We start from the raw sequence: 16,461 nt of genomic DNA, 5'->3' as shown, positions 1-16,461 counted from the left end.
AAATATGAACTCATGATCTTCAAACCACCCCCTACTTTAAAAATAAAGAAAAAAATCTGTTCTTTTGTCCCCATTCCTTACTTTTTGTAAATGACTTCACTAATTGCAGAGACATTAGAATTATTTTTGGTAATTCCCTCCCCATGTCTACTTCATCACCTAATGTCCATTTTACCTTACAAATATCTTTTGAATTCAGCCACTTATGTCATTATCCACCGCACTGTCCCAGGGCAAATTACCATGATGTTTCACCTGGCCTACCACAAAAACTTCCTGTTTTTTCAACATCCGTTCTTACCTCTGACAATTATTTCTCCATATCACAACCAAGGTGATGTTTTAGAAATCTGGTCATTTGTCTCCTGTTGGTGAAACTTTTCAAAGGCTTCCTATTTCCCTAAAATGAAGACTGCCATCTTTAATATGGCATTCTAAGCTAAGCATGATCTGAACTTTGTCTGATGCTCCAACTTCATTACATCACATTCTTCCCCCTACTATTTCAGCTGCATACCTATTAACTTGGATCTTTGGACAAGCCTTTCCTTCTACCTACAAATACCATTTTCATCCCATTCCTCCCTTTCCTAGGTAATCCCTACTCATCCTTCAGATCTCAGCTTAAAATTGAGTTCCTCATGGAAATCTTCCCATACTCTCATTCCTTCCCCACCAAACTGAATCAGTCCCCTTCTGTGCATTCAGAGCTCCGTGTGTTTTTATAACACACAATTTTTGATAATATATAGTTTCTTGATTAATGTCTATAAACTATAGGATCTATATCTAGTTTTTCTCTCAGTTGAATAACCTATGCTCACAAAGCTGGCTGGAACATAATAAATATTGTCAAATAAGAAAGAGAAAGTCATCTGACTTCGTAAAATAATGGCAATGTTCTGGATCTTTAGATAGCCAAGAAACCTTAGAAATCATTAAATTATATATAATTGTTTTATAGATTAGAAAGCAACAGGCCGGGTGCGGTGGCTCACGCCTGTAATCCCAGCACTTTGGGAGGCTGAGGCGGGCGGATCATGAGGTCAGGAGATCTAGACCATCCTGGCTAACACGGTGAAACCCCGTCTCTACTAAAAATACAAAAAAATTAGCCGGGTGTGGTGGCAGGCGCCTGTAGTCCCAACTACTCGGGAGGCTGAGGCAGGAGAGTGGCTTGAACCCGGGAGGCGCAGCTTGCAGTGAGTGGAGTTCGCGCCACTGCACTCCAGCCTGGGCGACAGAGCAAGACTCCGTCTCAAAAACAAAAAACAAAAGAAAGCAACATTTTTGCTGTTGCTGTCATTTGTATTAACTTCGTTAAATTATGCTTGTCTTATTGTACATCATCTATCAGTAATTAGGATAGTCTTTGAAATTCTCTGTGTCAGATATTATTTCTTTATTTGTTTATATTTACAGATCTGATTTATTTTAAAATAAATGGTCACACAATCAAAAAATTTTATTACACCATCATCCACAAACAGTTATCACATGCTGGTGCTCACTTTACACATATGCCATTTTGGCTGATGCACTCACCCCATGGAACCTATTGTTTACCAACAGGGCCTAAGAATCCGTATCTTTTTTTGAGGATTAACTCTATAAAGCAGATCTTGTCCCTTCTTACCATGTGTACATGGGAATTATCAACCTTAAACCTGTATCTTTTTCTGAGACCCTATTGGGAATAAGATAGCTCCTTCTGTTTCAGTTTACAGAGAGAAACCTGACATTGGCAGTCATTCTTCAGAAACAATAGCTTTATCCTGATATCTGGTTTTTTCCTAAGGACAAATAAGCAGGTACAGGCTTACCTTAAAGGGCAAAATGGAGAAAACAAATAAAAACCAAAGAAGAAAAATCTATCGTCTTCAGTTATCTATGGATATTTGACTTATCCAGTTGTTAACAATTGGCTTTTAGGTTCCTAATACAGCTCCTAGAATTACAGTTTTAGTCTGTGCTTTTTATTTGCACTGAAGTGAATTTATCTGTGTCATATTGAGTTGAAAACTCTGAAGACACAAGAAATTGGTTCTCAAACCTACTAGTTTACTGTCTTCATTAACTTAACATCTTCTTTCATAATAGCACTTTAAATCTAAGCCAAGATTGAAAAAAAAAAAATAAAAGAACTGGTTTTCAATCCTGTTACTCATTTTGGGTTTATTTGTTGAGACTCCACACAGATGAATATTAGTTGCCCTTGTGGTTTGGAAGTGCAGAAATACATAAACTGAGTCTTAGTATATTCCTTCAGAATAGTGCAAAATAGCAACAACTTTCAGCTGTTGTTTTCTGCAGTAGATTTGTTACCTATAAGACTGTAGGTAAAGATGTTAACATCATGGTTTTTACTGTTTGAGTTACAAAATAATAACCCCCAATTTCAGAGTTGGGTTTTTTCTTTAAAGCTGTTAGATTTAAAACCTTGTTAAATTTTACATCTATTAAAGTGTCTTAATATACTTACTTTTCTCCACTGAAACTTAAGGAAGACTCCAAGTAACATTTATAATAATATACGATTGCTCTACTGAAAATATCCTAGTATTCTGACTCCCATTGAGAGGGGTTTTGGTGCTCAATGTTATGGGTCAAGAAAACATCCTAGTTTCCCTTTAATAACATATGATGAATTTAGCATACATTTATTTATTTTGATAGTTTTTAATCCTGATTATTTTTTTCTCTTGAAGCAATGATTTCTTTCTTTCTTTTTAAAGGCAGGATCTTGCTGTGTTGCCAAGGCTAGTCTTGCACTCCTGGATTCAAGCGATTCTCATGCCTTAGCCTCTCATTCAGCAGGAATACATGTGTGTGCCACTGTGCTCAGCTAGTATCTCATTAATTAGTTTTTTTTTAAGACAGTGTCTCACTATGTTGCCCAGGCTGGGAAATAGCAATTTCTGAAACTTTACTTTGTTATGTCAAGTAATGTTCTGTCTTGTTTTATTTCATCATATTTGTTCTGTGTTTACCACTTTCAAGCTTCAAAAGATGCCCCTGGCTGGGTGTGGTGGTTCATGTCTATAATTCCAGCACTTTGGGAGGCCAAGGTAGGAGGATCACTTGAGGTCAAGAGTTTGAGACTAGCCTAGGTAATGTAGTGAGACCCCGTCTGCCCCCTAGAATTGAAACAAACTAGCTGAGTGTGGTGGTGCATGTCTGTAGTCCTAGCTACTCGGGATTCTGAGGTGGGAAGATTACATGAGCCTAGGAATTTCAGGCTGCAGTGAGCTATGATTGTGCCACTGCCCTCCAGCCTGGGTGACAGAGCAAGACCCTGTCTCTAAAAACAGACAAACAAAACAAAACAAAAAACAAAAGGTGCTCCTAATTTTAGGATTTGGTAAATCAGTTTTCATTCTATAAAAAATCTCCTTTATTCTCAGCTTTCCAGACTGAGACATCTTAATTGTTTTGAGTTTGTCTCCCCATTCCCTGACCTCTTTGATTGTAGTGACCTTTATTTAATGTTTAAAATCTCTGATCTGAACATAGCACATCAAGCATGAGTGAATCATAGTTACTTTGTGAATTCATTCTCATATGGTATGTTTTTCCAATGGTGCCAGGATTTTGTTTTTTAGTTAAAACTTTTGCTGCTCTGACACAGTAAGTCAAACTCTGCAGGGAACACTTAGCAACTCCCTGAGAAAGTCACACATTAACATAATGGATTATTTTTTGACCTCTAAAAGTTGAATTTGCCTTTATTAGTTAATATTTCTCTCAGTTTTATTTCTGACATTCATTGTCTTTTGAGCATGTAGCTTTAATTCAGATAGAAGTTAGCTTCAAATTTTTACATTTTAACTTTCTCTAATCAATGAGTTGATCTGGTAGATAATGCATTTACAATAGCATTATAGGCCGGGCGCAGTGGCTCACGCCTGTAATCCCAGCACTTTGGGAGGCCAAGGTGGATGGATCATAAGATCAGGAGATTGAGACCATCGTGGCTAACACAGTGAAACCCGTCTCTACTAAAAATACAAAAAAAATTAGCCAGGCATGGTAGCGGGTGCCTGTAGTCCCAGCTACTCGGGAGGCTGAGGCAGGAGAATGGCGTGAACCCAGGAGGCAGAGCTTGCAGTGAGCCAAGATCACGCCACTGCACTCCAGCCTGAGTGACAGAGCGAGACTCCGTCTCAAAAAAAAAAAAAAAAAAAGCATTATAACCACATATGCACTTATTCATACCTAATATACACAATATATTTCCTCAGTACCTCCCATCTTTGGAAAAGTTTGGAAGAGAAAATTTCAGGGAACTGTGGCTTTTGTTATTTTATAGAGTGATTTGCCTTAATATGTGGATACCTTTACTTCTATTTGAAAGATAAAGTTATTGTCAACCATTAACCAAACATTGTTTCTAGTTATGTTCAATTACAATATGAACTAAGTGTTTGCTTTATTTTCAGTATAATTTATTTTTATTATACTGACACTGCCTGGTTTTGAGATGCAGTTAGCTGTTTTTCTGTATTGATGAGAATTGGAGGAATGAGGGAACTTACACACCAAGAATGGTTAAGTTATTCTTTCTTACAAAGAAGCCTCAGAGTTTTCCTCTACAAAGAAAGCATCTAGGGAGTGTGACATCAGCAAGATGGCAGAACAGGAGAATCTAGCTCTCATTCCCCTCAAGGAAACACCAGTTGGTGTAACCACCCACAGATGAGAATACCTTTGTGGGAGCCACAAAATATAGCTGAGAGTTTCCAGCACACTGGTGGAGCAAAAAATCTGAGAGTGGAAACATTGAAAAGAGTAAGAAGAGCAATTTCACTTCACTAATGTCACCCCTCCTTAAAGTACCACATCTTTGTGCCAAAAGAGGCCCACAATTTCTCTCAGGAGGGAAAGGGAGAGCAAAGTGAGAGCCTGAGTTACCCAGCCTTGTGGGATGCTGCCTGAGAGTCTCACGTCATCTTTCCCCTCCCAGAACACCAAGGGGATCTGCATGGCTGAATAATCCAGTGGTAGCTAGGAGTAGGGAGAAGAAGTGAACACTCACAGCAACTGGCATGCAGTTTTCAACAGCCAGCCACAGATATAGTTAACTGGTTCATGGACTCCATCAAGTGATCCACCCACAAATCCTGCAATACAATTTACCCATATACATTCCCAACAAGCTGTTGTGCACCCTTAGGACCCCATTCACCACCACCGCCATGGATGGTACCCCATGAGTCCCTGGTGCATGGCCTGTGCAAGCTCCCTCAGACAGTGCATGGATCTCAGTAGCCAATATGTATCTTAAAAGCCTGATCTACTGGTTTGTGAGAAAGCACACAACCTTAAACACTTCAGGGCGCAGCTCTAGGGAAAATAAATGAGAGGCTTTTGGCACCAGTCCCAGCTTTGTAGGATGAAGAGAAGGCAGACAGTATTAAGATTTCCCCATAAGAGGAAACAAGAGGAGTGGAGCAAATGCATTCATAGTAAAGGTCTGAGAAACCTTCAGCATCTCTAACCAGGCTCACTGGTGCAGGTCTTTCTCTCTTCATGGTGATCAATAAAGACAGGAAGAGTTGGCTGTTTCTTCAAACGTGAAGGCTTCAAGGAACATCAAGATTCAAGGAAGTATATTACCACTAAAGAATTACGGGCTTTTGAAATTATCTAGGGAGAAGAACAAAAACATAAAAGAATGAAAAGGATGAAGAAAGCATACGGGATGATGGGACACCATCAAGTGAACCAAAGTATGCATTATGAGAGTCCCAGAAGTAGCTCAGAAAGAGAAAGAGGAAGAAAGTTTATTTAAAGATATGATGAAAGATAACTTCCCAAATCTGGAAAGAGAAATGAGCATGCACTTCCATGAAGCCCAAAAAACTCCAAATAACTTGAGCATAATGAGGTCATCACTGAGACACATTAAAATCAAATTATCAAAAGTCAAAGATGAAGATAATTTTGAAAACAGAAGGGGTTTTTGTCACATGCAAAGGACTCATTATAAGACTATCAGCAGATTTCTCAGCAGAGACTTTACAGGCCAGGAAAGAGTGGAATGATATATTCAAAGTGATGAAAGAAAATAGCTGCTAACCAAGAATAGCATACCTGACAAAGCTGTCCTTCAGAAATAAGGGAGAGAGAAAGATTTTCACAGGCAAACGAAAGCTGAGGGAGTTTATCACCGCTAGACCTGCCTTATAAGAAATGCTAAGGGAAGTTGTTCAGGTTGAAATGAAAGGATGCTTATTAGCATCAGGAAAATATATGAAGCTATAAAACTCAGAAATAAAGGTAAATACGTAGTCAAATTAGAATAGTCTAATACTGTAATGGTGGTATGTAAATCACTTTTAGGATGAAGGTTAAAAATACAAATGTATAAAAATAGCCAGCTACAAAAATTTAATTGATACACAGTATAAAAAGATGTAAATTGTGATATCAATAGCAGAAAATGTTGGCAGGGTGAGTAAAAGTATAAAGTTTTTGTATGTGACCAAAATTAAGCTGCTATCATTTAAAATAGACTGTTATAACTATAAGATGCTTTATATAAGCTTCATGATACTCACAAAGCCAAACTCATAATAAATACATACAAGACAAAAAGGAATAAAAGCATACCACTTAAAAAAAAAAAAGCGAGAGGAAGAAAGAAACCAAAGAACTATAAAATAATCAGTTTTATTCAAATGGCAACAGTAAGTTCTGACCTATCAATAATTAATTTAAATGTAAATGGATTAAATTCCCCAATCAAAAAACAGAGTAACCCAATGAATTAAAAAAATGTGATTTGACTGTAGGCTACCTGCAAGAAACTCACTTTAGAATTAAGAAGACACATGGGCTGAAAGTCAAGGGATAGAAAAAGATATTCCATTCAGAAAGTAACCAAAAGAGAGCAGGAGTGGCTATCTGTCACAGAAATAAAGAATATTTCTATGTAATCATAAAGGGATCAATTCATCAAGAAAATACAAAGCAAATATTAACAGAATTGAAGGGAGAAATAGACAACAACATAATAGTAGGGGACTTTGATACTCTGCTTTCAACAATGGATAGATCATCCAGACAGAAAATCAATAAGGAAATGTCAGACTTGAACAAATGGACCTAACAAACATATACAAAACATTCCATCCAACAGCAGTAGAATACACATTCTTCTCAAGGGCACAAGGACCATTTTCCAAAATAGATTATGTGTAGGCCACAAACCAAGTCTTAACACATTTAAGAAGCTTGAAATGGTATCAAATATCTTCTGACCACAAAGGTATGAAACTAGAAACAGGAGGAAAATTCACAAATTAAATAACACACTCCTTTAGGTGGAGCAATATGGCAGAACAAAAGGCTCCACTGATCACCCTGAATTGCTGGGTGATTGAATTGCTGACGCCACCTCTCTACCTTCCTGACAGTGTTGGCATGGTGCCAAGGTGTTTCTTTGCTCTGGGAAGAGGAAGAGCAGCACAGCAGTTGTGAGGCACTGAACTCAGTGTTGCCCTGTTATAGCAAGGAAACAAAACAAAAAAAAACAACCAAATTCAGCTGATGCCCACCTACAGAGTGAGCATTTAAACCAGCCCTAGCCAGGAGGGATTGACTGATCCCAGCAGTCTGAACTTGAGTTCCTGCAAGTCTCACCATTGTGGGCCAAAGCACTCTGGGACTCTAAATAAAGTTGAAAGGCAGTCTAGGCCACAAGGACTGCAAACTTTTAGGCAAGTCCTAGTGCTGAACTGGGCCCAGAGCCAGCGGACTAGTGGGGTATGCAGCCTACTGAGACACCAGCCTGAGCAGCTAAGGGAGGACAGACATCATCCCTTCCCTAATCCCAGGCTACACAGCTTACAACTCCTAAAGAGACCCCTTCCCTCCACTTGAGGAAAGGAGAGCAAAGAGTGGGGAGGACTTTGTCTTGCATCTTGGATACTAGCTCAGCCACAACAGTATAGGGCACCAGTCAGAGTCATGAGGCCCTTTTTCCAGGCCCTAGCTCCTGAACAACATTTCTAGACACACCCTGGGTCAGAAGGGAACCTGCTACCTTGCAGTGAAGGACCCAGTCCTGGCAGGATTCCTTACCTGCTAATTGAAGAGCCCTTGGGCCCTAAATAACCAGCAGCAATAACAAGCTACTACATTGAGGGCCTTGGGTGAGACTCTGAGACCTGCTGACTTCATGTGAGACTCAGCACACTTCCAGCTGTGGTGGCTATGGGACAAGACTCCTCTGCTTGAGAAAAGCAGAAGGAAAAGTGAATGGGACTTTGTCTTGGACCTTAGGTACCAGCTCAGCCACAGGTAGGTAGAGCACCAAGCAGGCTCTTGGAGTCTCTGATTCCAGGACTTGGATCTTGAATGGTATTTCCGGACCTACCCAGGGCCAGAGAGGAGCCTACTGCACTTAAAGGTCAGTTTCAGACCAGGCAGCATTCACCCCAAGCTTGGTGAAGAGCCTTTGGGCCTTAGGGAACATCAGCAGTAGTCTGGCAGTATACCCCATGGGCCTGTGATGGCAGTGGCTATGGGATGAGGCCTTGGGAAAGAGAAAGGAAGAATGGGAAAGACTGTGTCTTGTGGTTTGAGTGCCAACTCAGCTATAGTACAGTAGCACACTAGGTAGACTTTGAAGGTTTTTTATTCTAGTTTTGGTTTCAGGATGGCAGCTGTGGACCTGCCTGGGTCCTGGGAAAACTCACTACTCTGAAGGGAAGGACACAGGCCTGGCTAGCTTTGCCATCTGCTGATTGCAGAGCCTCAGAGTCTTGAGTGAACATAGGGAGTAGCCAGGGGGTGGTTACAGAAGGCCGTGGGTGAGACCCAGTGCTGTGTTGGCTTCCAGTGTGACCCAGCATAGTCACAGGGTCATGGTGGCCACAGGGGTGCTAATGTCACTCCACCCCCAGCTCTAGGTGGCCCAAAACAGACACAGAGAGAGACTCTGTTTGTTTCAGAGAAAGTAAGAGAAGAGAACTAGAGTCTCTCCCTTGTAATCCGGAGAATTCTCCCTGATCTTGTTCAGGGCCATCAAGGCAGTATCTCTATGAGTGTCCAAGAACCACAGCATTACTGGTCTTGGAGTGCCCTCTAAAGCAGACTAAGCTTTGATAATAACATCCAAGTCCTTTCAAATATTGAGAAAGCCTTCCCAAGATGGATGGGTACAAATGTGTCCAGACTGAGAAGACAGCAGTAAATACCTAAGTGTTCAATGCCCAAATACAGACGAACATCTGCAAGTATCGAGACCATCTGGAAAATATGACCTCACCAAATGAACTAAATAAGGCACCATGGACTATTCTTGGAGAAACAGAGATTTATGACCTTTTAGACAAAGAATTCAGAATAGCTGTTTTGAGAAAACTCAAAGAAATTCAATATAACACAGAGAAGGAACTCAGAATTCTATCACACAGATTTAACTAAGAGATTGAAATAAAAAGAAGCAGAAATTCTGGACCTGGAAAATGCTATTGGCGTACTGAAGAATACATCAGAGTCCTTTGATTGCAGAATTGATCAAGCAGAAGAAAGAATGAGTGAGCTTGAAGACGGACTATATAAAAATATACTCAGAGAGCTGGGTGTGGTGGCTCACGCCTGTAATCCTAGCACTTTGGGAGGCCGAGGCAGGCGGATCACGAAGTCAGGAGATCGAGACCAACCTGGTTAATATGGTGAAACCCCATCTCTACTAAAAATACAAAAAGTTAGCCGGGCATCGTGGTGGGCACCTGTAGTCCCAGCTAGTCAGGAGGCTGAGGCAGGAGAATGGCATGAACCTGGGAGGTGGAGCTTGCAGTGAGCCGAGATTGCGCCATTGCACTCCAGCCTGGGCGACAGAGCAAGACTCCATCTCAAAAAGAAAAAAAAAAAAACACTCAGAGGAGATAAAAGAAAAAAGAATAAAAAACAATGAAGCATGCCTACAGGATCTTGAAAATAGCCTCCAAAGGCAAATGTAAGAGTTATTGGCCTTAAAGAGGAGGTAGAGAAAGAGGGGTAAAAGTTTTATTCAAAGGGATAATAGAACTTCCCAAACCTAGAGAAAGATATCAATATCCAAATACAAGAAGGTTGTAGAACATCAAGCAGATTTAACCCAAAGATTACTACCTCAAAGCATTTAGTAATGAAATTCCCAAAGGTCAGGGATAAAGGATCCTAAAAGGAACAAGAGAGAAGAAACAGATAACATACAATGGAGCTCCAGTACATCTGGCAGCACACTTTTCAGTGGAAATCTTAGAGGTTGGGGGTGATTGACATGACATATTTGCTGAAAGGAAAAAAAATTTACCTTAGAATAGTATATCTGGTGAAAATACCCTTCAAACATGAAAAAGAAATAAAGACTTTCCCAGACAAACAATAGCTGAGGGACTTCATAAACACCAGAACTGTCCTGCAAGAAATGCTAAAGGGAGTACTTCAATCAAAAAGAAAAGGATGTTAATGAGCAATAAGAAATCATCTAAAGGTACAAAACTCACTGGTAATAGTAAGTACAAAGAAAAACCCAGAATATCGTAAAACTGTAACTATGATGTATGAACCACTCTTAAGCAGAAAGACTAAATGATGAACCAATCAGAAATAATAACTACAACTTTTGAAGACACAGTTCAATAAGATACATTAATAAATAGAAGCAACACAAAGTTAAAAAGTGGGGGGACTAAGTTAAAGTGCAGAATGCTTATTTTCTTTTTGCTTGTTTCTTTGTTGTGTATGCAAACAGTGTTCAGTTGTGTTCAGCTTAAAATAATGGGTTGCAAAATAGTATTTGCAAGCTTCATGGTGACCTCAAACCAAAAAACATACAACAGATACACAAAAAAATAAAAAGTAAGAAACTAAATTATATCATGAAAGAAAATCATCTTCACTAAAAGGAAAACAGGAAGGAAAGAAAGAAACGAGAGGACCACAAAACGACCACAAAAATAACAAAATGGCAGGAGAAAGTTCTTACTTATCAATAATAGCATTGAATGTAAATAGACTAAACCCTCCAATCAAAAGACATAGAGTGGCTAAATGGATTTTTTTAAAAAAGACCTAGTGATCTGTTGCCCACAAGAAACACACTTCAACTATAAAGACACACATAGACTGAAAATAAAGGAATGAAAAAAGATATTCCATGCCATGGGAAACCAAAAAAGAGCAAGAGTAGCTATACTTATATATCAGGCAAAATAGATTTCAAGACAAAAACTGTAAGAAGAGACAAATAGGTCACTATATAATGATAAAGGGGTCAATACAGCAAGAGAATATAACAATTGTTAATATATGTGCACCAAACACTGGAGCACCCAGATATATATACTAAATACTATTAGAGCTAAAGCGAGATATAGGCCTCAGTGCAATCATAGTTAAAGACTTCAACACCCTGCATTCAGCATTGGACAGATCTTCCAGACAGAAAATCAACAAAGAAACATTGGACTTAATCTGCTCTATAGACCAAATGGACCTAATAGATATTTACAGAACGTCTCATCTAATGGCTGCAGAATATACATTTTTTTCCTCAACACATGGATCATTCTCAAGGATAAACCGTATGTTAACTCATAAAACAATATTCAAAAAATATTGAAATAATATCAAGCACCTTCTCTGACCACAGTGGAATAAAACCAGAGATCAACAACAAGAAGAATTTTGGAAACTATGCAAACAAATGAAAATTAAATAGTATGCTCCTGAATGACCAGTGGATCAGTGAGGAAATTAAGAAGGAAATTGAAAAATTTATTGAAACAAACAATAATGGAAATACAACATTTCGAAACCTATGGTATACAGCAAAAAACTGTACTAAGAGGGAAGTTTATAGCTCTTAGTGCTTACATCAAAAAAGACGAAAAACTTGAAATGAACAGCCTAATGATACATCTTAAAGAACTGGAAAAGCAAGAGCGAACCAAATCCAAAATTGATAGAAGAAAATAAATAATAAAGATCAGAGCAGAAATTGAAATGAAGAAAACAACACAAAAGATCAATGAAACAAAAAGTTGGTTTTTTGAGAAGTTAAACAAAATAGGCAAACCTTTAGCCAGATTAACTAAGAAAAAAAGAGAGAAGACCCAAATAAATAAAATCAGAGATGCAAAAGGAGACATTAAAACTGATACCACAGAAATTCAAAGGATCATTAGTGGCTACTATGAGCAACTATATACAAATAAATTGGAAAATTTAGAAGAAATGGATAATGAATCATTAGTGGCTACTATGAGCAACTACATACCAATAAATTTGAAATGTTAGAAGAAATGGATAAATTTCTTGACACATACAACCTGCCAAGATTGAACCTTGAAGAAATCCAAAACTTTAACAGACCAATAATGAGTAATGAGATTGAAGCCTTAATAAAAAGTCTCCCAGTAGAGAAAAGCCCAGGATCCTATGGCTTCACTGCTGAATTCTACCAAACATTTAAAGAAGAACTAATACCAATCCTGCTCAAACTATTTTGAAAAATAAAGGAGGAGGCAATACTTCCAAACTCATTCTACATGGCCAATATCATCCTAATACCAAAACTAAAGACACATTAAAAAAAAAAAACTACGGGCCAATATCTCTGATCAATATTGATACAAATATCCTCAACAAAATACTAGCAAACCAAATTCAACAATACAATAAAAAGATCATTCATCATGACCAAGCGAGATTTATCCCTGGGATGCAAGGATGGTTCAAAATGTGCAAATCAATCAATATGATAGGTCATATTAACATAATGAAGGGCAAAAACCATAGGATCATTTCAATTGATGCAAAAAAGCATGTGACAGAATTCAATATCCCTTCATGATAAAAACCCTCAAAAACTAAGTATAGAAAGAACATACCTCAAGAGAATGAAAGCCATATATGGCTGACCTCAAGCCAATATCATACTGAATGGGAACAAACTGAAAGCCCTTCCTCTAAGATTTGGATCACCACAAGGACACTCTTTTTCACTGTTATTGTTCAATATAGTACTGGAGGTCCTAGCTAGAGCAATCAGACAACAGAAAGAAATAAAGGGCATCCAAACAGGAAGATAAGTCAAATTATCCTTGTTTGCAGATATATGATCTTATATTTGGAAAAATCCAGAGACGCCATCAAAACTGTTAGAACTGATAAACAAATTTAGTAAAGTTGCAAGATGTAAAATCAACATACAAAAATCAGTATCATTCCTGTATGCTGACTGAACAATCTGAGAAAGAAATGCAAAAAGTAATCCCATTTACAACAGCCACAAATAAAGTGAAATACGTAGGAATCAACTTGATCAAAGATGTGAAAGATCTCTATAATCAGAATTAGGAAACACTGATAAAAGAGATTGAAGAAGACCTCAAAAAATGGAAAGATATTTCATGTTCATGAATTGGAAGAATCAATATTGTTAAAATGTCCATGCTACCCAATGCAATCTACAGATTCTATGCAATATGTAGACTGCATTCTGTGACATTCTTCACAGAAATAGAAAAAACAGTCCTAAAACTAATATGGAATTACAAAAGACCCGGAATACCCAAAGCTATCTTATGCAAAAAGAACAGAACTGGCCAAATTACTTTACCTGACTGTAAATTGTACTGTAGAGCTGTAGTAACAAAAACAACATGGTACAGGCATAAAAACAGACACACAGACTAATGGAACAGAGTATAGAACCCATAAACAAATCCACATACTTAGAGTTAACTCATTTTTGAGAAGGGTACCAAGAATGTACACTGTGGAAAAGACAGTCTCTTCAATAAATGGTGCTGGGAAGACTGGATGTCCATATGCAGAAGAATGAAACTGGACCCCTGTCTCTCTATATATATACAAAAATCAAGCAAATGGATTAAAGAATTAAATATAAGACCTCAAATACGAAACTACTACAAGAAAACATTGGGGAAAATCTCCAGGACATTAGTCTGGGCAAAAATTCCTTTCTTGAGTAATAGCCCACAAGCACAGACAACCAAAGCAAAAATTGACGAATGGAATCATATCAAGTTAAAAAGCTTCTATACAGCAATGGATATAGTCAACAAAGTGTAGAAAAACCCACAGACTGGGAGAAAATATTTGCAAACTACCCACCTGACAAGGAATTAATAGCCAGAGTATGTAAGGAGCTCAAACAACTCTATAAGAAAAATATCTAATAATCCAGTTTTTAAATGGTCAGAAGAAGACATACGAAGGTGCTCAGCATCATTGATCATCAGAGAAATACAAATCACAACTGCAAAGAGATTTCATCTCACCTCTGTTAAAATGGCTAATATCCAAAAGACAGGCAATAACAAATGCCGGCAAGGTTGTGGAGAAAAGAGTACCCTCATACATGTTGATGAAACTGTAAGTTAGTGCAACCAGTAGGGAGAATAATTTGGAGGTTCCTGAAAAAACTAAAAATAGAGCTACCATATGATCCAGCAATCCTGCTCCTAGGTATATACACAAAAGAAAGGAAATCAGTATATCAGAGAGATATCTGCACTCCTATGTTTGTTACTGCATTGTTCACAATAGCTAAAATTTGGAAGCAAGTTAAGTGTCCATCAACGGATGAATGGATAAAAAAATGTGGTACATATACACAATGGAGTACTATTCAGCCATAAAAGGAATGAGATCCTGTCATTTTCAACAACGTGGATGGAACTGGAGGTCATCATGCTAAGTGCAATAAGCCAGGCATAGAAAGACAAATATCACATGTTCTTACTTATTTGTGGGATCTGAAAGTCAAAACAATAGAACTAATGGAGATAGAGAGTAAAAGGATGGTTACTAGAGGCTGGGAAGGGTAGTTGGAGTATAAGTGGAAGGTGAGGATGGTTAATGGGTCAAAAGAAAAAAAGGAAAGAATGTGAACAAGACCTAGTATTTGACAGCACAATAGGGTGTCTATAGTCAAAAATAATGTTATTGTACATTTTAACATAACTAAAAGATAATTGGATTGTTTGTAACACAAATGTAAATGTTTGAGGGGATATCCAATTTTACATGATATGATTATTACACATTGCATGCCTGTGTCAAAACATCTCATGTACCCTGTAAATACATATGCGACTATGTATGCACAAAAATTAAAATCAAAAATCAAAAAAGTAAATATTCACAACTAAGAGTCACAAAGAAGAAATCAAAAGGGAAATCAAAAAGTATCTTGAGAGAAACAAAAATGGAAAATCAACATACCAAAACTTATGCAATGCAGCCACAGAAGTTCTAACAAAGAAGTTTATAGCAGTAAATGCCTACTTTAAGAAAAAAAGAGAGATCACAAATAAACAGCCTAACTTTATGTCTCAAGGAACTAGAAGAAGAAGAACGAAATAAGCCCAAAGTTAGCAGAAGGAAGAAAGGAATAAACATCTAGAAGAAATAAATGAAACAGGCTAGAAAAACCATAGAAAAAAATCAACAAAACAAAGAGTTGTTTTTTGAAAAGATAATGAAAATGATAATGAAAATCTTTAAGGAAAAATGAGAAAAGAATCAAATGAATAAAATTATAAATGAGAGAAGAGACATTACAGGTGATATCACAGGAATACGAAGGATCATAAGAATCTTCTGTGAAAAGTATATGCTAACAAATTGGATAACCTAGAAGAAATGGATAAATTTGTAGAAGCATACAAATTAACAAGGCTGAGCTTTGACAAAATAGGAAATTTGAATAGACCAATAGCAAGTAATGGGATTGACTAAGGAATCCAAAACCTTTCAACAAAGAGTATCTCGGGACAAGATGGTTTCACTGGTGAATTCTACCAAGTATTTAAAGAAGAAGTAACGCCAGTCCTGCTCAAACTCCTCCAAAAATGTGAAAAGGAGGGAACACTTCCAAACTCATGCTACAAGGCCGGCATTACCCTGATACCAAAGCCAGACAAGGACACTGCAAGAAAAGAAAATTACTAGCCAATATTTGTAACGAACATAGATGTGAAAATACTAAAAACAAAACTAGTAAACTAAATTTTACAGCACATTTAAAAGATTATATACCATTGTCAAGTGGGATTCATCCTTGGGATCCAGTCATGGTTCAACCTACACAAATCAGTAAAAGTAATATACCACATTAACAGAATGAAATATAAAAATCATATGATCATCTCAATAGATGCAGAGAAAGCATTTGATAACATTCAACATGATTTCCTGATTTAAAAAAAAAAAAACACCTCTCAATAGACTACGTATAGAATGAATGTACCACAACATAATAAAAGCCATGTATGACAAGCCCCAGCTAGCATCCTACTCAGTGATGAAAAACTGAAAGGCTTCCTGCAAGATCAGGAACAAGACAAGGATGCCCACTCTTGCCACTTTTTTCAACACAGTGCCTAGAGGTCCTAGCTAAAGCAGTTAGGGGGGAAAATCCATCCAAATCAGAAA

General features: G+C 37.7%; 2 long non-coding RNA genes across 4 annotated transcripts in view, besides 1 other annotated feature; one reads left to right on the top strand and one right to left on the bottom strand.

Annotated features, from left to right (window-relative positions):
• LINC01572 (long intergenic non-protein coding RNA 1572) overlaps nt 1-16,461 on the top strand; it is a 384,069-nt gene that overhangs the window by 201,384 nt on the left and 166,224 nt on the right. The gene's annotated exons all lie outside the window — the stretch shown is intronic.
• Nucleotides 1-16,461, bottom strand: part of LOC124903718 (uncharacterized) — a 109,513-nt gene that overhangs the window by 71,872 nt on the left and 21,180 nt on the right. The window lies entirely within an intron of this gene.
• Nucleotides 3,820-3,989: an enhancer, noted in NCBI's record as "experimental_44118 CRE fragment used in MPRA reporter constructs". NCBI's record gives its function as "activates a minimal promoter by MPRAs in K562 erythroleukemia cells, with activity observed for the introgressed 16:72493582 variant allele {active_cell/tissue: K562}" and the evidence as "EXISTENCE:reporter gene assay evidence [ECO:0000049][PMID:34662402]".

This window comes from Homo sapiens, chromosome 16, assembly GCF_000001405.40.
Source record: "Homo sapiens chromosome 16, GRCh38.p14 Primary Assembly".
NCBI lineage: Eukaryota > Metazoa > Chordata > Mammalia > Primates > Hominidae > Homo > Homo sapiens.
Note: the sequence above shows the minus strand (reverse complement) of the source record. Positions and strands in the feature narration are given on the sequence as shown.